General features: G+C 41.4%; 1 protein-coding gene and 1 long non-coding RNA gene across 2 annotated transcripts in view; one reads left to right on the top strand and one right to left on the bottom strand.

Annotated features, from left to right (window-relative positions):
- The window catches only part of LOC107987282 (uncharacterized), a 52,776-nt gene that overhangs the window by 6,613 nt on the left and 23,855 nt on the right, over window positions 1-22,308 (bottom strand). Inside the window, exon 2 of the long non-coding RNA XR_001754641.3 lies at window positions 449-501. This is a non-coding gene — a long non-coding RNA (uncharacterized LOC107987282). The remainder of the gene's footprint in view (window positions 1-448; window positions 502-22,308) is intronic.
- On the top strand, window positions 18,153-21,314 carry SPINT3 (serine peptidase inhibitor, Kunitz type 3). The gene is made up of 2 exons (NM_006652.2): window positions 18,153-18,242; window positions 20,931-21,314. The coding sequence occupies exons 1-2, from the start codon at window positions 18,167-18,169 to the stop codon at window positions 21,122-21,124; spliced, it is 270 nt and encodes an 89-aa protein (NP_006643.1). The 5' UTR covers window positions 18,153-18,166; the 3' UTR covers window positions 21,125-21,314.

The raw sequence follows: 22,308 nt of genomic DNA, 5'->3' as shown, positions 1-22,308 counted from the left end.
GGTGGTGCATGCCTGTAATCCCAACTACTCGGGAGGCTGAGGCAGGAGAATTGTTTGAACCCAGGAGGCAAAAGTTGCAGTGAGCTGAGATTGCACCATTGCACTCCAGCCTGGGCAATAAGAACAAAACTCAAAAAAAAAAAAAAAAAAAAAAGAAAGAAAGAAAGAAAAGAAAAAAGAAAGAAACCAAGCACAAATGAGTACAAAAGAGAATATTATTTCAAATGAGGAGGGAAATTGCAACCAGCTGCAAATTTTTAAAGGCTGACAAACAGTAAAAATTGCACAAAACCCATATAAATTAATAATTCATTGTTTACATTTATGACCTCAATTCTGTAAAGCACTATTTCTGTGGAGAGAATGGAAAGATAACTTTTTATTTAATGTGGGGATCAAAATATGATATTTTAATTTTTATTATAGGTGAATTGGATAAAACATGTACCTGAATGCTTGAAGCCATGCTTGATGTCTGCAGTTCTGTTACAGGTTTGTGTCCTAGAAACACAGGAATTTTAATAAATTATCTTTTGTACAACTCTATTAAAAAAAGAAAAAATGCATGGTACATTTAAAATTGTACATATTGAATTATCAAGTATATGCTTACTACAAAAGAACTTCTGAACAGGCTTCCATAAGAGCTGATTTTTTTTTTCTAATTAAAATGTGATGTATCTGACCAGACTCAGTGGTTCATGCCTGTAATCCCAGCACTTTGGGAGGCCGAAGGGGGCAGATCACCTGATGTCAAGAGTTCAAGACCAGACTGGCCAACGTGGTGAAACCCCATCTCTACTAAAAATACAAGAAATTAGCCAGGTGTGGTGGTGCACACTTGTAGCCCCAGCTACTCAGGAGGCTGAGGCAGGAGAATTGCTTGAACCCGGGAGGTGGAGGTTGCAGTGAGCCAAGATCGTGCCATTGCACTCTAGCCTGGGCGGTGGAGTGAGACTCCATCTCAAAAAAAAAATTGATGTATCTGATATTTGAAAGAATGCTACACAGGCTTGTTTTCCTGGCTCCACACATTTCAAAACTTGTTTCTCCTCTACCACCCGCAACCTTCTTGGGCTAAGAACATTCATTTTACAGTGCAACCTCTAGTCCCATAACTTAGTGTCATAACATCAAGGGAATAGGCCCAGTAGAAAACAGGAGTATTATTTGCAGCTGCTTCTCCACCAGGACAGCTAGCAGCAACTTCCTACACATACAAATGACAGCTAACGACCTAAATATATTCTACTAACTCCAAAATAAATATATCCCCAACTCAACTTCCTTTTAATTTGCATGCCTAAAATGCTGGCAGTCGCCCAAACACCACCTGACCTAGGAGAAGTGTGACAGAGGGAAAGGTCAGAGTGGAAAGGGAAGGTGGATTGGCGATTATGGTTAGAATATCTTACTTTTGCAGATATTACAAGTCATCTGACCATGTAAACATATAGCTAGAAGCACTCCCAGAATCTTAAAAGGGGCTCGCTCGAGCGAGGACCCTGAGGCTTGGCTCCATCGACCTCATGGTAAGTCCGTCTCTGAAAGGGCTCATGGACTTGTTTACTGGAGTTGTAGTAAAGAAGACAGTTCCATAGTATGGTGCAGAAACTCCAAAATTGAAAATAGCTGGACAGGCATGAAAGGGGGAGATGGAGGAAAGCAGAGAAGAGTTAAAGAGGAAGGGAGAAGAAAGGGGTGAAGGAGGAAAAGACACTGGATGGTGTGACTGTTTTAAAGCAAGGTCCTAAAATTCTTTCACTCACCTTCCACCTAGAAGTGGGATCTATGTCCCCTCCTTTTGAATCTGAGAAAACTCTGTGACTGCTTTGACCAAGAGAATAAAGCAAAAATGATGCTATGTGACCTCCAAGGCTAAGCTAGAATAAGTGCAAGTCCCACTTGATCCTCTTATGTAGCTTGTTTGGGGGCAGTGGGAAACTGCCATGTAAGATGTCCAACTACTCTGAGAGAGGCCCATGCTAGAGAGACCCATGTGGGTGCTGTGATCAGCAGGCCCAGATAAGCTCTGACTGATAGCCAGCATCAATTTCAGCCATGCAAATGAGATGCCCAACCCAATAGAGCCTTCAGATGGCTGCAGCCCCAGCAGACATCTGACTGCAACCATGGGAAAGACCCTATAAAAGAACCACCAAGCAGATTGCTTCCCAGATGGCTGACCCACAATATAAAATGGTTGCTTTAAAGTGCTAAGTTTTCAGAAAATTTATTCACAGAATAGGTGATCAAAGATGGAAACGGGCTAGGAGCAGTGGCTCACAGCTGTAATCCCAGGCACTTTGGGAGTCCAAGGCAGGCAGATAACTTGAAGTCAGAAGTTCAAGACCAGCCTGGCCAAAACGGCAAAACCCTGTCTCTACTAAAAATACAAAAATTAGCCAGACATAGTGGCGGGCACCTGTAATACCACCTACTCGGGAGGCTGGGGCAGGAGAATCTCTTCAGCCCGGGAGGCGGAGGTTGCAGTGAGCTGAGATTGCGCCACTGCACTCCAGAGCGAGATTTGGTCTCAAAAAAAAAAAAAGAAAGAAAAAAAAGATGAAAAGGGAGTAGAAGGAAGGATAGGGAGAGAGAAAGAAGAAAGAGACACCCATAGGACTGGGCAAGATAAGAGGATGCCAGGCTTGAGAAGGGAACCTCACAACAGGCAGCTTGTCATCACAGCACACCAAGACTTGCTATCTCTTGTCAAATAAGTTTGTTGTTTAATATAACTTGGATCAAGGGGCTCTAAAGAGGCTGGAATTCATTTGCTGTTGATGCTGTTGCCATCTCTGCTTCCCTCTCTTTAGAAAGGGCTGGTAAAACTGATTGTAGAAAACTCTAAAGGCACTGCAAAAAAAGGTTAGAATTAATAAACAAATTTATTAAAGTTACAGGATACAAAATCAACATACAAAAATCAATAGCAACTTTATACACCAAGAACAATCTCATTTCCATCAGCGGCAACAACAACAAAACACTCAGTAATTAACTCAACCAAAGAAGTGAAAAACTTATGCATTGACAATTATAAAACATCGATGAAGGAAATTTAAAAGACACAAATAAATGAAAAGACATCCATGCTCATAGATTAGAAGAATCAATGTTGTCAAAATGTCCACACTACCCAAAGCAATCTACAGAGCACATGCAATTTCTGCCAAAATGCCAATGGCATTTTTTACAGAAACATAAAAAGCAATGCTAAAATTCATATGGAACCACAAAAGACCCCAAATTGCCAAAGGAATTTTGAAAAAGAACAGAGCTGTAAGCACCACATTTCCTGATGTCAAATTACATTGCAAAGCTAGAGTAATCAAAAGAGTGTGGTACTGGCATAAAAACAGAAAAGCAGACATACAGGCCAATGGAACAGAATAGAGAAGCCAGAACTAAGCCCACCCATTTATGGTCAATTGATCTTTGACGAGGGTGTCAAAAACACACAATAGGCAACAGAAGATCTCTTTAACAAATGGTGCTGGGAAAACTAGATATTCACATGCAAAAGAATGAAATTGGACCCCTATCCAATACCATATACAAAAGTCAACTTAAAATAGATTAAAGTCTTAAACATAAGACCTGAAACTAAAATTCTTTAAAAAGTCTTGAAGAGACATCTGCACTTCCAAGTTCATTGAAGCATTATTCATAATAGCAAAGATATGAAAAAAACCTAAATGTCATCAGCAGATAAATGAATTAAAAACTGTGGTGTGTGTATGCATACACACACATGTGTATACACACGTTATACATATATATACAACGTATATATACATTATACAATATATGTATACATTATATGTGTACACACACATGCAATAGTATTCATCCTTTAAAAAGTAGGAAATCCTGTCATTTGCCACAACACAGATGAATCCAAAGGACATCATGCTAAGTGAATTAAGCTGGACACAAAAAGACAAATATTGCCTGATCTTACTTATATGTGGAATCTAAGATAGCCAAACTTGGGCTAGGAGTGATGACTCATGCCTGTAATCCCAGCACATTGGGAGGCTGAGGCAGGAGGATTGCTTGACGCCAGGAGTTTGAGGCTACAGCCTGGGTGACAGAGTGAGTTCCTGTCAAATAAATAAATAAATAAATAAAATAGTCAAACTCATAGAAGCAGTGAGTAGAATGGTAATTACAAGGAGGATGGGGTGATGGGGTGGGGGAAGGAGAAAAATGAGAAAATATTGGTCAAAGGGTACAAAGTTTCCATTTCAGTTATGCAAGATAAATTAGTTCTGGAACCTAATGTACAGTATGGTGACTGCAATTAACAATACTGTATGGCATACCTGAAATTTGCTAAGAGGGTGGATCTTAAGTGTTCTCATCACACAAGAAAAGGTTAACTATGTAAGATGGTGTATATGTTAATTCACTTGAGTGTGGCGATCATTTTATACATTATCAATATAGGAAGTTGCACACCTTAAATATATACAATTCCTATTTGTCAATTATACCTCAATAAAGCTAGGGGGAGAAAAATAAAAACTTTTAGAAAAAGATAAAAGAAAAAATCATCTTTACATTGATTTTGGCAATTTTTTTTGGACATGACATCAAAATTACAAGCAACAAAAGCAAAAATAGACAAGTGGGATTATATCAAACTAAAATCTTCTGCACAGCAAAGGAAACAATCAACAAAATGAAAAGGCAAGCTACTGAGTAGGAAAAAATGTTTGCAAGCCATATATGCTGTAAAGAATTAATATCCAAAATACATAAATAACTCACACGACTACTATTCAAGAATACATATCAAGAATACAAGTAACCTGATTAACAAATGGACATCCAACAATTTTTGGGAAGCTGAAAAAAATGGGCAAGGAACCTAAATAGCCATTTCTCAAAAGAAAAAATTTAAATGGTCAACAGGTATATAAAAATGTGCTCAAGATCTCTAATCATCAGGAAAATGCAAATTAAAACTACAGTGAGATGTCACCACACCCCTGTTAAGATGGCTATCATAAAAAAGACAAAAGATAAGTGTTGTCAAGAATTTAGAAAAAGGGCACCCTTGGACACTATTGGTGGTGAGAATGTACATTGGTACAGCTACTTATGGAAAACAATATGGAAGATCCCAAAAAAATTAAAACTAAAACTACCATATGATCCAGAAATCCCCCCCAAAGGAATTGAAGTCAGGACTGAGAAGAGAAAGCTGTGCTCCCATGTTCACTGTGCGTTATTCACGGCAAGTCCAGAAACGACCTGAATGTCTGTTGACAGATGAAGGCCAACTATTGCAAGGACAAAAAACTAAACACCGCATGTTCTCACTCATAGGTGGGAATTGAACAATGAGAACACATGGACACAGGAAGGCGAACATCACACATCGGGGACTGTTGTGGGGTTTGGGGAGTGGGGAGGGATAGCATTAGGAGATATACCTAATGCTAAATGACGAGTTAATGGGTGCAGCACACCAACATGGCACATGTATACATATGTAACAAACCTGCACGTTGTGCACATGTACCCTAAAACTTAAAGTATAATAATAATGAAATTAAAAAAAAAGAGGAAAACCAAAAAAAAAAAAAAAAGAAAGAAAAAGGCTGGGCATGGTGGCTCTCGCCTGTAATCCCAGCAATTTGGGAGGCCAAGGTGGGAGGATTGCTTGAGCCCAGGAGCTTGAGACCAGCCTGGGCAACATAGAAAGACCCCCATCCCTACAACAAATTTAAAAAATTAGCTGGGCATAGTGGCACGTGTCTGTAGTCCCAGTTACTTGAGAGGCTGAGGCAGAACGATTGTTTGAGCCCAGGAGCCCCTAGGCTACAGTGAGCTATCATTGCGCCACTGCACTCCAGCCTGGGTGACAGAACAAAATTCTGTCTCAAATAAAATAAAATAAAATAAAATAAAATAAAATAAAATAAAATACACACATACATATTCAATGGGATAATATCAGCCTTAAAAAATAAAAAGGAAATGTTCCCATTTGGCACAGCATGAATGGAACTGCAGGACGTTATGATATGTGAAATAAGCAAGACAAAGAAAGAGAAATACTACATGATCTCACTTATATGTAGAATTTTTAAAAATTTACATTAAATTGACAGATAAAATCGTATGTATTTATTGTGTACAACATGATTTTTTCCCCTACATACTGCTTTTTCAAATAACATGTTTTGATACACACACACACACGCACACATTGTGGAATGGCTAAATCTAGCTAATTAACATATGCATTACTTCACTAAGTTATTTCTGTGGCAAGAACATTTAAAATCTACTCTCTTAGCATTTTTTAATAATACAGCTCCTAGATGCAGAGAGTAGGATGATGGTTGCCAGGGGCTGGTGGGAGGGGGAAATGGGGTAATCTTGATCAAAGGGGATAAAGTTTCAATCATACGACATGAATAAATTCTAGAGATACAATGTGCGGCATGGTAAGGATTGCTAACAATACTGTCTTGTATACTTAAATTTACCAAGAGAGTAGATCTTAAATCTTCTCAACACACACGTATACATACATGGTTAACTATGTAGAGATTATAGATATGCTAATTAGCTGGAATGTGGTGATCATTTCATAATGTATATGTATATCAAAATACCAAGTGGTACACCTTAAATGGATACTTTTTTATATGTCAATGATATTTTAATAAATCTGTTAAAAATTTTACAGCTAAGTCCAAATAATTACTGAGAAAAATGAGGTGGTTTTTTTTTTTTTTTTTTGAGACAGAGTCTCACTCTGTCACCAAGGCTGGAGTGCAATGGTACGATCTTGGCTCACTGCAACATCCGCCTCCCAGGTTCAAGCAATTCTCCTGTCTCAGCCTCCTGAGTAACTAGGATAACAGGCTTGTGCCAACCACGCCTGGCTAATTTTTGTGTTTTTAGTAGAGACGCAGTTTTACCATGTTGGTCAGGCTGGTCTCGAACTCCTGACCTCGTGATCCGCCCGCCTCAGCCTCCCAAAGTGTTGGGATTACAGGTGTGAGCCACCGTGCTCGGCCGAAAATGAGGTTTAATGCAATTGTTAGAAAGTAACTCCCCAAATAGACAAGACATAATGTTTTTAAAGTGTTTGCCACAGTATGAAAGAAGATCAATAGTATTCTGGAATATTCTGAGTGATTACAATAAAATTGTGACAAATGTCTTGCCATTAACAAAAGAAGTCTATGGTGCCTGTTTCTGGTGTAGAAGGAGAGTAGGTGAAGATGTTAGAATCCTTGGAAGTGGGAGGGTCAGGTCAGGGTCGTGATGAAGACCCTGAAAAGGCTGCTCATTTGGCAGTTTTGCAAAGTGTCTGTCCAGCCACATTGTCCCCATGTGTGGTATCTCCCCATGTTGACATTTGCTCTTGCCTCCATACCTCTGTGAGAATTGTTCTTTGCTCCCGGGAAGCCTATCCCAGTCCTGTGCATCCTTAAGATTCAGACCAAATTACTAACCAGTCATCTTTGGTCTGCATCCTATGGGAAGAGCACGTGTCTGGGAATAAAGAGATCCAAATCTGAATCCCAGCTTTACCCCTGGTTGAATGTATGCTGTGGTTGGAACAGGATAGGGTGGAGGGATGCTCCCCTTGGGGCCTCAGTTTTGCATTTCTAAGATGAAGACGATGGACTAATGATGTCAAAGTGTATTTCTAAATTTGAGAAAATACAGCAGCTCAAGGACTCTGCCAAATCTGATAAGCACCTAGTGCTTGTCCTTCTCACTGGCACTCTTCAATCCTTGATTGGGGTTGACATACATGAATGAATGGAACAGAATCATTCTGTCCCCGACACCCATGGACCAAAGAGGCCCTTGGAAATGTTCAGAATGTGCCGTGTGGTGAGCAGTATCTGATCACTGCTCTGCTCAAGAATGAACTCAAAGCCCTCAGGGCTGAGCACTGAGAACCCCTGCCTTGCAAGACCTCAGTGGGGCTGGAGTACGTTGGGTCTCTTTATCACTGACTGTTTGCTCATGACTCTGTCCATTAGATCCCAGAAGACATCTCAAGTGGAATCTTCAGGTGTTTCCCATGGTACCACGCATATCCAGGACCTCTCGTCTTCTTCTCCTTCTTCTCTCTTTGGAGCTGTCTCCAGAGCCAAAAATGCCCAGAGGAAGCTTAAATCATTTGGAAATGCAGGGAGTGTCTAAGCTGAGGGGCCTAGAAAACTCCAGCAGCCCCAATCCCTCTCTTTTTAAAAACACATACACAAATGGAAGCTTCTAGTAGGGGAAATGGACTTGTCTAAAATCACACAGCAAATGAGTAACAAAACTGGAGCTAACCAGGTCTGAAGGGTGGCAAAGTGTTGCCAGATCCCACAGACTAGTTGGAAATCAGGATGGATATAGTGACTATTTGTGATTTCGATTTTTAATATTCAGTACCTAAATCTAATTCCTACTAGGACTCCCTACTAGGGAAGTCTTGGTGGGAGTTAAAACCAGTATTCCCAGTATAAGAACTGAAAGAGCCAAGCTTTCACTCAGAGAGGATTTAATACTGAGAATTGGTTACATGAATATTAGAATCCCTCACTCCTAGATTTGGGAGTATAAAAGATTTGGGGTTACCAGAACCCAGGAGTTAAGACAAGGGGCCCAGGCACACATAGTGCTCACACCTCTGGGGGAACAGAGAGGTGGGAGCTGTGTGACTGGCACTCTTCTTCTAAAATTTCTGCAGCCAGGGTTGAGACCTCTGAGGGATCAAATGGTACTTGGTCCACTAGGTGGGGAGGCATGGCCAGCTGCATCTCTGAGGAGGTACCATGCAGCTGGTTTGAAGAACAAGAAGCATCCAGAGCCTGGAGGGGTAACTGCTTCCCCCACCACAGACTTGCCTGTGGCACTTCCTTGGCTCTCATCCCCCCAACCCCAGGGACTTTCATAAAGATATCAGTGGTGGTAGCAATGAGGATTGGGGTAAGTTGTCTTACCCAGAGGAAGAGAAGATCCAGCAAAACACTGTAGACCACACCCCTCTCAGGATCCAATTCCTTGCCAACACCTGCCTCTTGTCAGACCAGCTGCACTCCACAGCTGAATCATGGGGAAGGGAGAACTGAGCCCACCTAATTGTCATCGAGACCTGGGTTTTGTGTTTGGAGGGAAATTTCTACCCCCATTCAGTGAGCTTTACATTTCAAAATCAACAAGTACTGCTACCTGGGCTGTCCTAAGATATCTCAGATGTCATATAACAACAGCAGATGCTGAAGAAAATGGGCATGCATTTCAGTACTTGTTTAATACATTGTCTATCATTGATAAGCCACGGATTTCTTTTTTTAGCCAAATCACCTGAGGCAGTAGCTCACTAGTACCAGTACACCAAGAATTCAGATTCTAGAGCCTTCCCAAAAAACTAAACTTTATAAATAAATTAAGCTCCCAAGGTAAGTCTTTTTTGTAAATTCTATATAATGTTCCTTTTTAAAAAAATTTTACTGTGTATATTTAAAGTATACAACATGATTTTATAAGATCCAAGGTAATTCTGATGCCGTGTGAGTTTGGGAACTACTGGTCTAATACTCCTGATTTAATATCACATTCCTGAAAAGTATTATTAAATGTAGGTCACAAAACTTCTGATTCATCATAATTTTGCACATTCTTGCTTCCTTCTGCTATTAACTTTTATTCTAAAGACCCATCCTTCTTAATTTGCTATTTCTGCTAAGTATTGTCCAGTAGAGAGTGCATCATTCATGATTCATCATTTCTGTCCTTTTGCACAATTTTCTCTCCCTGCTACTGATTTCCTCTTTACTGCCTACTTTAGCATATTAATTCATCAAGCAAAATGAGCACATCTTCGGTGTTCTTTCAATTCAGCAGTAAAGTAAAAGGAGGACATGGAGAGGCCAAAAGTATGTTTAACTCCAATGTACTTTACTTTTCATGTCTAAGGAGTCTCCTCTTTTTCCCACAACTCCCTCCCCAGAGCTAATTCACTGAGAAACCTTGTCAAGTCAAGCTTCTCTCCCTCTTACTGTCAGCAAAGCTGACACTGAGCTCCTTACTGCCCCCAAAGCACTCACATGTGCTGGTCCACATGTGTGGATTCCCTTCACCTCAAATCTTCATCGCAGATCTTGTACTTAACTCTGTCATAGCTTTTATCATAATCTGTAGGTATGTATTTAATTGTGACATTATTCAATGTTTCTCTCCCCTCTAGACATTAGGCTCTACGAGGAAAAAGCGTTGTGCCTTTTTCTTACTAGTGCCTGACACAGGAGAGGTCTTCAATGGATATTTGTTGAATGAATGGAAATGCATCGTATAATAAAACACCCCTTAATGTGAAGGACCAAGGGGAGGGGCTGGTTACTGGAACAGAGATCTATATGGAAGGGGTATCCTGAAAGGAGCAAATTGAGGCATCCATGCAGACTGTGGAGACACAACCAGAGGAAGATGGGGAATAAATACCCAAACCTTAGTCCCAGTCTTTCCTCTAATCTCCCTCTGTGCCCCATGGGCTGGTTCCAAGGAGAAGCCAGAAAGCAAGATAACCGTTGATACAACCCATACATTTGGTTTTCTGAGGTATAAAGCAGGGCACAGAAGAGGGGGTAAGTAGGTTCAAAAGGGGAAAGAAAGAAATTCAAATCCATCCCTCAACATTCACTCTTGGGTTCTGTCCGCATGAAAAGTCCATGTCCCATTACGGGGTTGCATGAGTCCTCCTGGTCACCAAATCATTGTGGGTGTCAGTTGGTCACATACCCAAAAGCTAAAATGCTAGCCATCACCAATGTTCCTCATATTCAATTGTGGAAGAAGGGAGGAAAGAGACAACTAACATAAAACAGCGACTACAGACCCCCTCTGTGTGGCTGGTCATGAAGTTCAAGGTGATAACCATAGCTGCCTTCTCCTGGCATCCTTTCTATGTTTCCATTACCTTCTGCCAGTCAGATGGAGTGCTTCACCTGACGAGGTGATCCAAACTTTCATTCCTGTGCAGTCTGAGCCCTTCACAATCTTTCCTTTATGGGGTTCCCACAGTTTTTCATTGATCAAGACTATTGTACAAAGGAGTTCTAAGAGGTGCCAATGAATCCCTTGGGTTCTAGGTTGTGATGGTTAATCTTATGCATCAACTTGACTGGGCCCCAAAATATCCAGATTAAACATCATGTCTGGGTTTGTCTGTGAGGGTGTTTCCGGATGAGATGAGCATTTGAATTGGTGGACTCAGTAAAGTAGACGGCCCTCCTGAAAGTGGATGGGCATCATCCAATCCACTGAGACCTGAATAAAGCAAAAGATGGAAGAAAGAAAAATTTGTCCCGTCTTTCTGCCTCATTTCTTGAACTGGGACATCTCATGTCATCTTCTCCTGCCCTTGAACAAAGATTCACACCCTTGTCTCAGGTCTTCAGACTCAGACTAAATTACACCACCAACTTCCAACTTTCCTGGGTCTCCAGTTTGCAGATGACAGATCATGGGACTTTTTGACCTCCAGCCTACATAATTGCATGAGCCAATTACACACACACACACACACACACACACACACACACACACACACACACATAATCTTATATTGGCTCTGTTTCTCAGGAGAACTAGTATATAGACAAGCTTCCTTACCTCCACTGTATAGCAGCAACCCAATTTCCCCTTGGTTATCAGGATTAACCACCCATCTTGTGCAGTGACACCCTCCCCTTTCTCTCTTTTGATTAAGTGGTATGAAGAGCCAAAAATATCCAAGGGGCAGTGTTTGCTCTTAATTCTGCAAAATCCCAACAGTATTTTCCTGTGGAAGCATTCCTCCCTTGAGCACTAAGACCACCAATCCCACTAAGCCCAGGATTGGGAGGATGAGAGGCAAACATTCCTCTAGTGGGTTATTATTAGATGTGAAAGTCAGAGGAGAATCACTCTTAATCCTGGGCTAAAATTAGAATCATTTGGGGAGCTTTTAAAAAATATTGATGGGCAGTGTGTGGGCATGGGAAAGGGGGTGGGGAGGGAGGGAAAGAGGAAGGTAAGACAACAGATAAGGACCACTTCCATCAGGGACAGGTCAGTGTTTTGTTCTTACTAGAATAGATACTTACTCTGAACACTAATCTGCCCTCCCTGCATGGAACGCTTCTGCCAGAACTACCATCTGTAGACTTATGGAACGCCTTATCCACTGTCATAGTATTTCACACAGTGTTGTTTCTTATCAAGGAACTGATGTCACAGTAAAAAAAAAAAATTACAGCAATAGGCCCGTGCTCATGGAATTCACTGATCTTATTGTATTTCCCAGCATCCTGAAGCAGCTGGTTTGATAGTACCTTGCAGGACGGGGGGCAAGGTTTTCCTGCAGGCTGTAGATGCTCTGAATCAGCCTCCAATATATGGTACCCTTTCTCCCATAGTCAGGATTCATGTGCCCAGGAATAAAAGAGTGGAAATGGGAGTAGGCATTCCTCACTATTATCCCTGGTGACCCACTAGCAAAATTTTTGCTTCCTATTCCCATGATCTTATTCTATGCTTCCCTAGAAGTCTCAGTTCCAAAAGGAGGCCTGCTTTCACAAAGAGAACCAACAATGATTCCACTGAACTGAAAGTTAAGACTGTCATCTGGCCACTTTGGGCTCCTCCTGCCTCTGAATTAATAGGCAAAGAAAGGCATTACTATGTTGGCTGGGGTTATTGATCCAGACTACCAAGGGGGAAATTGAAGTACTGCACAATACAGGTAAAGGAAGAGTGTGTCCGGAATACGGAAGATTCCTTGGGGCAACTCTTAATATTACCATGCCCTTTGATTAAGGCCAATGGAAAACTACAACCCAACCCAGGCAGGACCATTAGCAAATGGCCCAAACCCTTCAAGAATGAAAGTTTGGGTCACTTGCCCAGGTAAAGAACAATGACCAGATGAGGTGCTTGCTGAAGGCAAAGGCAATACAGAATGGGTAGTGGGGAAAAGTAGTTATAAATACCAGCTATGACCACGTGACCATTACAGAAACAAAAACTGTAATTGTCATGAGTAGTCCTCCTTATTTTGTTATGAATATGGGTGTGTATTAAGCAAATATCTTTGTTTTCTTCCCTTTCCTATTTCCTTATTATGCAACATAAGATGTATTGACTTTATTTCATAGTACTTAAGTATTGTTCATTTTACATCATAGAATTTTAAGCTATGAGATATCAAGAGGAGTAAACGTCACTCAAAAACTATGTTCTCTTTGGGAAAGGGGTTGGTGTATTTCCATTGTCTGCAGGATAATTGTATCATGTTAGGTGGGATTATAACCTTGTAATAGTCTTTATTTTAAGATTAAGTATAGTCTAAGGAGATATGTATGGGTGCCAGGTTGACAAGTAATGGACTTGAGATGGCTAATTTTATGTATCATCTTGACTGGGCCATGGGGTGCCCAGATATTTGGTTAAACATTATCTCTGGGTTTGTCTGTAAGGATGTTTCTGGATGACATTGACATTTGAATTGGTAGACTGAGTAAAGCAGATTGCTCTCCCCAGTGTGGATGGGCCTTGACCAGTCTGTTGCAGGCCTGAATGAAATAAAAGTCTGAGTAAGAAATATATATTTTTTCTGCCTACCTGGCTTCAAGCTGAAACACTGGTTGTCTCCACACTCAGACTTGAACTGGAACTTATGCCATTGGCTCTCCTGGTTCTCAGGTCCTCAGACTCAGACTAGAGCTTGCATCATTGGCTCTCCCAGTTCTTAATCCCATGGACTTGTACTGGTGCTGTGCCATTGGTTTTCCTGGGTCTCCACCTTTCTGACTGCAGATCTTAGACTTATCATCCTCCACAATCATGTGAGCCAATTCCTTATAGTAAAAAGAATTTATATATATGTGTGTGTGTATATATATATATATCCCATTTTCAAAATGTTACCATTAGGGGAAACTAGGGAAACATTTCAAAATGTTAACATTAGGGGAAACCATATTATTTCTTACACCTGTACGTGAATTTATAATTATCTCAATAAAAATTTGAATTAAAGAAAATATAGGCAAAATAAAGACTTTCCCATATAAACAAAAACTGAGAGGAGGTGATGCTTCTCGTGGACTAGACTTTTTCCTTAAGACTGAAAGGATATGAGCCCAGATGGTAATTTGGATCCACAGGAAGGAATGAAAAACACCAGAAATGGTAAGTATGTAAATATAAAAGTGTGTATATGTGTATATAAGGGCATGTGTGTGTATGTGTGTGTGTGTGTATGTGGTCTTCTCTTGATTATAACAATGCTATAATAGACATAAATGTAATATATATGACAACAAAAGCACAAAGGAGGGGCAGGAAATAGAGCTATACTGGTGCAACGTTACTATATTTTACCAGAATTAAATGAATTGCCTGACATATGGTGCTCATAAGATGTTAGTCCCCTTCTTCCTTCTACAAAAGAGAAAGGTCATTTGGAGGTTAGAACCTGAAGGGTGAAACTTTATTCTTTCAAAATCCCACCCTTATTTACTTCCTCCTTCCTTAAACCAGCCAAATTAATGGGTCTCAATCAAAAGTAAGTTAATTGGGGCTGGGCTCGGTGGCGCTAGCCTGTAATCCCAGCACTTTGGGAGGCCGAGCTGGGTGGATCACTTGAGGTCAGGAGTTCGGGATCAGCCTGGCCAACACGGTGAAAGCCCGTCTCTACTAAAAATACAAAAATTAGCCAGGCGTGGTGGCACACGTCTGTAATCCCAGCTACTCGGGAGGCTGAGGCGGGGGAATCTCTTGAACCCAGGAGGTGGAGGCTGCAGTGAGCCAAGATCACGCCACTGAACTCCAGACTTCCAGACTGGGTGACAGAGCAAGACTCCATCTCAAAAAAAAAAAAAAAAAAAAAAAGTAGTAAGTGAATTGGAAGCGGAGCAGGGTTGAAATATTACCTATGGTGTACAGTATTCACTCTTCAGGCCCAGGCTTCACCACTGTGCAATATGTCCATGTAACAAACCTGCACATGTAGCTCCTGAATTTATTAAAGTTTTTAAAAAAATAATGTAATGATTTTTCACATACATGCACACACATATGGTTGACATAGGGTTAGTAAGATTCCTGCAATGAATATAAGTGCTAGATAACTAGCTAGGGCTGCCTTCTAGCTGCTCTAACGTGTTTTTAATAAATCTTACACTTGCCCTCCCCTTTCTGGAATTACAATAACACTGCCACCCAGATCTCCTGAGAAAGAGCCAATTCACTGAGTCATGACCAAAGATCCCCAGGGCAACCTGAGTACAGAATGAGCTTTTCAAGGGCCAGGTCCTGTTGCACCTTCCCACAAGGCCTGTTTGGCCAAACGAGTACAGACACACCTCATCAGGCACTGCCCCTCACTGCACTGGATCCTTATCATGCTGTTAATGTTGGAAATATTATTATAATTTTTTAAAAAAGTGTTTGTATCTATTGCTCTTCTGCAGGGTTTCCTAACCTTGGCAAGATTAACATTTGATGCCAAATGTGAGGGCTGTCCTGAGCAGTATAGGGTGTTTAGCAATATCTCTGCCTCAACACACTAGAAGCCAGTAGATGCCCCCAATCAAAAATGTCTCTAGACATTGCCGAGTGTCCTTGGGGGCAGTATCACTCCCTCCCCTGCTTTCCTGAATAGTACGTTTAAAGGCAGCTTCTCACTTCCTGATCCATTGCCCCAGAGGAGGCAACACTGCAGGAAGCTCTCAGCCAAGGATCATCAATAGGCGCCCCCGCCTTTCCTCTGCCTGCACAACAAGTGACAGTCTATTTATTTCTTCCTTCTATCATTATTTTGTTTTCTGATGAACAGATTTGATCACCCAAGAGGGCTAAGAAAGGCGATATCAAGGATAATGCTGGTGGACCCCTCAAAGTGCAAAAGAAGTTATACCAAAGAGATGTTGCAATGTAGGCTTCAGAAGTGCCTTCAAGGAAATAAATGTGGGGTAAACAGCAAAGATCAATAGATAATGAGAGGATCGACCAACAATTGTATAAGCTATAGTTAGAGAAAGCAATGGCCAAGGAATGAGTATCATGGTTCTAGGGAATTTAAAGAAAAGGAAGAGCTATAACTAATGTGCAAAGATGGGGAAAACATTTCTGTAGCAACTAAGTATGCTGCTGATCCAGTTAGCACCCCCATTTTCAAAAAGGCATCATTGCCACACACACACACGCATCCCTTGCAAAAGACATATACCTGTGTGTGCATTCACAATGTGTGAGGCATTTGAATATTTATTGAACACTTGCACCAATTCTGGGAAGTATGCTAAAGCAACATAATTAACCCCAATTTATAGATGAGAAAACTGAGGCTGGAAGACGTTAAATGACTTGCCCAGGTCAAGAGTAGCTGGACTTAAATCAACCCAAGTGTCCGTCACTGGATGGATAAAGAAAATGTGGTATGTATACACAATGGAATACTACTCAGCCTTTAAAAAGAAGGAAATCCTACCATTTGTGACAACGTGGATGAACCTGCAGGTTACGTGAAATAAGCCAGGGACAGAAAGACAAATACCAGGTGATCTCACTTACATGTGGAATCTAAAAAAGTTGAAGTCACAGAAGCAGAGAGTAGAATGGTGGATACCCGGGGCTGGGGGTGGGAAGTATTGGGAAGGTGCTGGTCAAAGGGTACAAAATTTCAGTTAGACAGACGGAATAAGTTGTAAAGACCTATTGCACAGCATGGTGACCGTAGTTAATAACATATTGTACACTTGAAAATTGCTAAGAGAGAAAATTTCTCTCTCTCTCTATATATATATACACACATATATTTCAAAACATCATATTGTACCTCATAAATATATAATGTTTCTCAACTTATGATGAGATTATAGCCTAATAAACCTAGCCTAAGTTGAAGATATCAGAAGTTGAAATGCATTTAATACACCTAACCTACCAAACATCATAGCTTAGCCTTACCTACCTTAAACTTGCTCAGAACACTTATACTAGTCTACAGTTGGGCAAAATCATCTAACACAAAGCCCCTTTTATAATGAAGTGTTGAATATCTAATGTAATTTATTGAATACTGTTCTAAAAGTGAACACAGAATGGTTGTATGGGTATTCCAAGTACTGTTTTTACTGACTGTGCATTGTGTTTGCACCATCATAAAGTCAAACACTGTAAGTCAAACCATTGTAAATTGGGGACTGCCTTTATACAATTTTTATTTCTCAATTAAAAATAAATAATAATAAATATATGATAGAATGCTTCTTGAAAAAGAATAGCTGGACCCATCACAACCTCAAATTTTAAATCTGAGGCTCACTAAATCTCCCTAAAGCATGCTGGCTTTGTCTTTCAAAAAAAATGGATCTCTAGAGAGTCAAGGAAAGGAGACAGTTGGAATGTGCTGGATTCTGGGGGTGTGTCTCTAGAGACCATGACCCTCTGAAGCAAACAAAGCTGGGCCCTCCTTCTACATGGTGCTTTTGATATTTCTATTAAAATATAATGAATCTGCTCCTCCTCCAAGTAGGTGACTGTTTCTGACTTCCAATGTGTTTGTGTGTGTTGTTGCCATAATTTCCTGGGAGCACCCAGATGGGATGGAGGCAGCATCTAATACTTTGCCTGGTGCAGTGTGGGTACTTGATGAATGTTTGTTGAATGAATGAGTGATACGAGGGCACTGAAGCAGACAGACCGGGGTCTCAGTCTTGTCTCTGAAACTTGCTGTCCATGTAACAATGGTCAAAGTAGCATAACCTCCTCTCATCTACAAAATGGGAGTGTTAGTGTTGTGGGATTCCCGTGTAGACTTAAGGGAAGCAATGTGTGAAAACTATTTTGCATGGTGCCTGGAAAAGGAAAGGTACTCAAAAATGGCTGCTGTCTTTTTATTATTGTGAAAAAGGCTTCCACCCTGAAGTGGTACTAAAGTAGCCTGGGTGGCCAGATCAGATAAGGCCAGGAGGAGAGAGGTGAAGCTGTGCTTTGGCTGAACACTCTGTTCCTGAGGCAGCCCAGCCCCATGAAAAGCCTGAGTTAAAGGTGAATGAGCTGGATGTGGGGCCAGGCTCCTCCCCTTGGTCCCTTTTCTCCCTAAAATGGCAACCCCAGGCTGAGCCACTGGCTGAGTGGCACCATGCAGCTTCAGGCCTCTCTCTCGTTTCTCCTGATTCTCACTCTCTGCCTAGAGCTTCGATCAGAACTAGCACGAGGTTGGTATGAAATGTGGGATCTCAAAGAATAGACTGGGAATCAGGCTGGGGGGCGGGGTGGTGGGGGAGGTGATGCAGCACAAACAGAGCCCATTTCTTACCTTACCGGATTGAGAGTCAATTCAGTTCAATTCACTTCATCAGACATATGTTGGGCACATAGTTATGTGCCAGGCACTGTCCTAGGTGCTGAGGTTAAAGCAAAGAGCCTGAGACCCTGCCTTTGTGAAATTAAGATGCTAATGGGAGAGAGACATACAATACCTAATACAAATGATAGATGATCAAAGTGCTATAGAAAATGAAATAAGTAAAGCAGGAAAAGGGGCCTTCAATGTCTGGGGTGGGGCTGGTGGCAGGCAAGGAGAGGTTGGGAAAAGGAGATCAGAGCCAGAATTTGAGAGTGAGGGACTTAGCCAAGTTAGATGCACTTGTCAGAAAAGGCTCCTTCCTGGACCACTTTCTCTGTGGAAGCTTGGAATCTGCAAATGGAAGTGGGGAGATGAAGTGCAGTTATAGCTAAGATAATCTGCTGGAAATGGGGATGGTAGGCAGCAGTTTCCAAGATTTTTAAGCAGCCAGTAGGATGCCCTGTATAAAAATGCATATTAGAATACACAAAAGGGTAAGAAAGAAGGTGAAAAATTATCAAAATCTTACCCTCTGGAGATTATCACTGTCAATGTGCCAGTGAACATTCTTGCATGTGCAAGCATAGTTCTCTGCATGTATGTACATGGAGCTATTAATGATAGATTCTTAGACATAAATGGAACTCTAAACCTCCCAATAACCTTATAGATGAGTGGTTCTCGAGTTTGTCCCCTAGTCTGACAGCAATAGCAGCAGCAGTATCAACTGGAAACATGCTAGTTCCCAGTCCCACCTGATCAGAAACTGTGGAGGTGGGTCTCTCTAACAAGCCTTCTAGATGATTCTGACGCATACTCAAGTTTGAAAATGTCTGCCATAAGTAAGAAGAATGTAGTGGTTTACAGTATGAGCATTCCTGGAGTCAGACACACCTGGGTTCTGGTCCAGGCTCCTCTACTTACAAACTCTGTGCCTCAGGAACATCATTTATAGCCTCTCTGAGCATCAGTTTCTTCTTCTATAAAAAAAGATTAACCATCTTTTCTGCTTTATTAATCAAATAGTCTGATGTATGTCAAGCTCTCAGTATAACTTAGCTCTTAATAGATTCTTGTAAAGCACTTAGAACAGCTTCTGTCACACTCAAAACACACACACAGGGTGTCATTATCTACTTTACATAAAAAAGAAGCAAGTCAAGTGATTTTCCTTTGGTTTAATGGAATGGAAGAGCAGAGAAGCAAGACTGAGAAAACTAAGAGCAGATGGGACTCCAGCCCCTACAGAGTCACCTGTAAGGGTCTAAGGGCCGATGATGCAGTGACTAGGATGTCTTAAGAACATGCCCCTCCACCTCCCACCTGGATTGAATAAGCTATTCTGCCTCTTCCCCATTCTCCTGCACCCTTAGCGTCAGCCTTGCAGGTAGGAGGATAAGACAGAGTCTGAACCTTTCCAAGCCCTAGGCTGCTGCCTGAAGTTCCACCATAGGTGTGATCATTCATCTGTGCATTCACTCATTTTACAACAACCAAGATGGATGGAGAACCTGCAAGCCTTTGCAGTCGAACCATGCTGGGTTTGATTCTTGGTCCTACTGCTTCCTAGCCTGACATTAGGACAGGTACTTCATTTATCTGGCCTTAGTTTCTTCACATAATGTTGGAAATTCTACTAGCTACCATGAAGAGTAAAACTGCCCACATGGTGACAGAAACATAAAAGGAGGGTACAAAGAAACTTTTAATCCTGCCCCAGAGGGGCTCAGTGGGGTGGTGGTGGTGGTTTTCTATTAACAAATATTTGCTAAGAACTGAGAACTAGGCCTGTGTTAGGCACTAAGGCTGCAGAAATGAGTACAATGAGGTCCCTCTTCTCAAGAGTCTTATTGGTTAAGAAATAGAATGATTAAGAGCAGCTACTATTTATTGATTTATTTTCTATTTATCAATGCTTTTCACTGGTAATCTCTAACCCTGCAATAAACCAAAAATGTGGATATTACACCTGCATTTTTGCAATGAAGGAAATTGAATGTCAAGGAGATAAGTCATTTGTCCAAGATCACATAGCTAGAAGATAATTGAGACAAGTTTGAACCCTCTCAGATTCAATCTTGCTCTCAGATTCAAAGTCTGTCCTCCTTCTCTCATAGGATATTGATTCTAGAATTGATTATGAGACAGGAGGTAGAAACCTGAGGATCTTTATTATCAAATCCTATAAAAGTAGATCTGGAAGGGAACTCAGAGATGATGTGGTTCAACTCCTTGATTTTACAAATGAAGAAATGGAGACATGAAGAAGTTAGGTTTATACAACATCACACAGTAGCAAGTGGCTGCGCGAGGATCTCAATCCACTTGAGTTATATTCTCAAGCCTATGATTATCACCACATCAGGCTACTCTCAGAAGTGAAAATGTCAACTTCTGTGTAGACAGATCAGACCATAGCTGGGTAGAAAGAGGTACAGAGCACAGCCATTGTGGATGGCCTCACAATTGTGCCCAGGGCTGTCACAGCCCCTGGCATATGAGGCAAACAAGGAGAAGGTGATGGGTTTGGTCTCCTTCAACCACTTTCTCTCTTCAGACACTATCAAGGATCTCCTCCCAAATGTATGCGCTTTTCCTATGGAAAAGGGCCCTTGTCAAACCTACATGACGCGATGGTTTTTCAACTTTGAAACTGGTGAATGTGAGTTATTTGCTTACGGAGGCTGCGGAGGCAACAGCAACAACTTTTTGAGGAAAGAAAAATGTGAGAAATTCTGCAAGTTCACCTGATTTTCTAACAAGAACACAGCCCTCCATGGATTCGGGATTGCTCTGAGGGCCATAGAAGGCATTTGCGTGTGTGTGTGTGTGTGTGTGTGAACAAGAGGTTCATTCCTCTACCCCCACATTTATTCTCCCTGATGTGCTCCTACAAGTGCTTCATCTCTGTGCCTGAAATTCTATAAATGTTGCAATCATGTTTACAATCTCAAGACCTCCTTTTTAAAACATACACGTACTTACAAATACACTGGGGAAATTTAGAGCAACCATTCACACCTTAGTATGAATTACTGCTTAACCCACTGGGAGATAAAGGTTTTGAAGGACAGAGAGGGTGGATTTGGAAATTCGGGTACAACATTGGAAGGGCCTACATTGGACAAGGAGGGGATTTCTGGTCTTGTGAAATAAGAAACAAGGAAACAACAGAAACCAGGGAAGAAAGGGGAGCTGGGGAGAAACTGAAGATGTTAAGGACACTTTTAATTAAAAAAAAAAAAAAAAAAAAAAGTAGTGGGCTGGGCGTGGTGGCTCACACCTGTAATCCCAGAACTTTGAGAGGCTGAGTAAGGCAGGTGGATCATGAGGTCAAGAGATCGAGACCATCCTGGCCAACATGGTGAAACCACGTCTCTACTAAAAACACAAGAATTAGCTGGGTGTGGTGGCGCATGCTACTACACTACATAGTTCCAGCTACTCGGGAGGCTGAGGCAGGAGAATCGCTTGAACCCAGGAGGCAGAGGTTGCAGTAAGCCGAGACCGTGCCATTGCACTCCAGCCTGGTGACAGAGTGAGACTTGGTCTCAAAAAAAAAAAAAAAAAGTGAATTTTTATGAAAGCTGTTATCTACTAAGGCTCAACCACATCTTCCTACCAAGGGCTACATGGGGAGAGGAGTGAAGAGCCCTGGTCCTAGAGTCTTTTGGTTTGCCTTAAGCAACACCAATTACAACAACTTGGAGAGAGAGGAGAAAAACACAGGAATCATTTCTTTCATTTATTTCAAGAGGGCCCATAGATGCGGAGGGACTTCTTTAAGATCACAGGTTGGGAACAAAACAGAGGCATCCTTGGTCCCACCAAAAGGCCTTTTCCATTGCATTGTAAACCCCCCAATCCATAATTTTTCCAGACTTCCTCTGGGATGGAGGGCAGAATTGAAGAGGGGGCATTCATGTGGGCACTGT

This window comes from Homo sapiens, chromosome 20 (genome assembly GCF_000001405.40).
Source record: "Homo sapiens chromosome 20, GRCh38.p14 Primary Assembly".
In the NCBI taxonomy this organism is placed as follows: Eukaryota; Metazoa; Chordata; class Mammalia; order Primates; family Hominidae; genus Homo; species Homo sapiens.
The sequence above is the reverse complement of the archived record's forward strand: the minus strand, read 5'-3'. Positions and strand labels throughout refer to the sequence as shown.

Bases quoted from the DNA above. Each gene is read 5' to 3' on its own strand.
- SPINT3 (NM_006652.2), top strand. From the start codon at position 18,167: ATGCAGCTTCAGGCCTCTCTCTCGTTTCTCCTGATTCTCACTCTCTGC. The intron at 18,243-20,930 runs GTTGGTATGAAA...TTCTCTCTTCAG, and splicing joins TCGATCAGAACTAGCACGAG to ACACTATCAAGGATCTCCTC.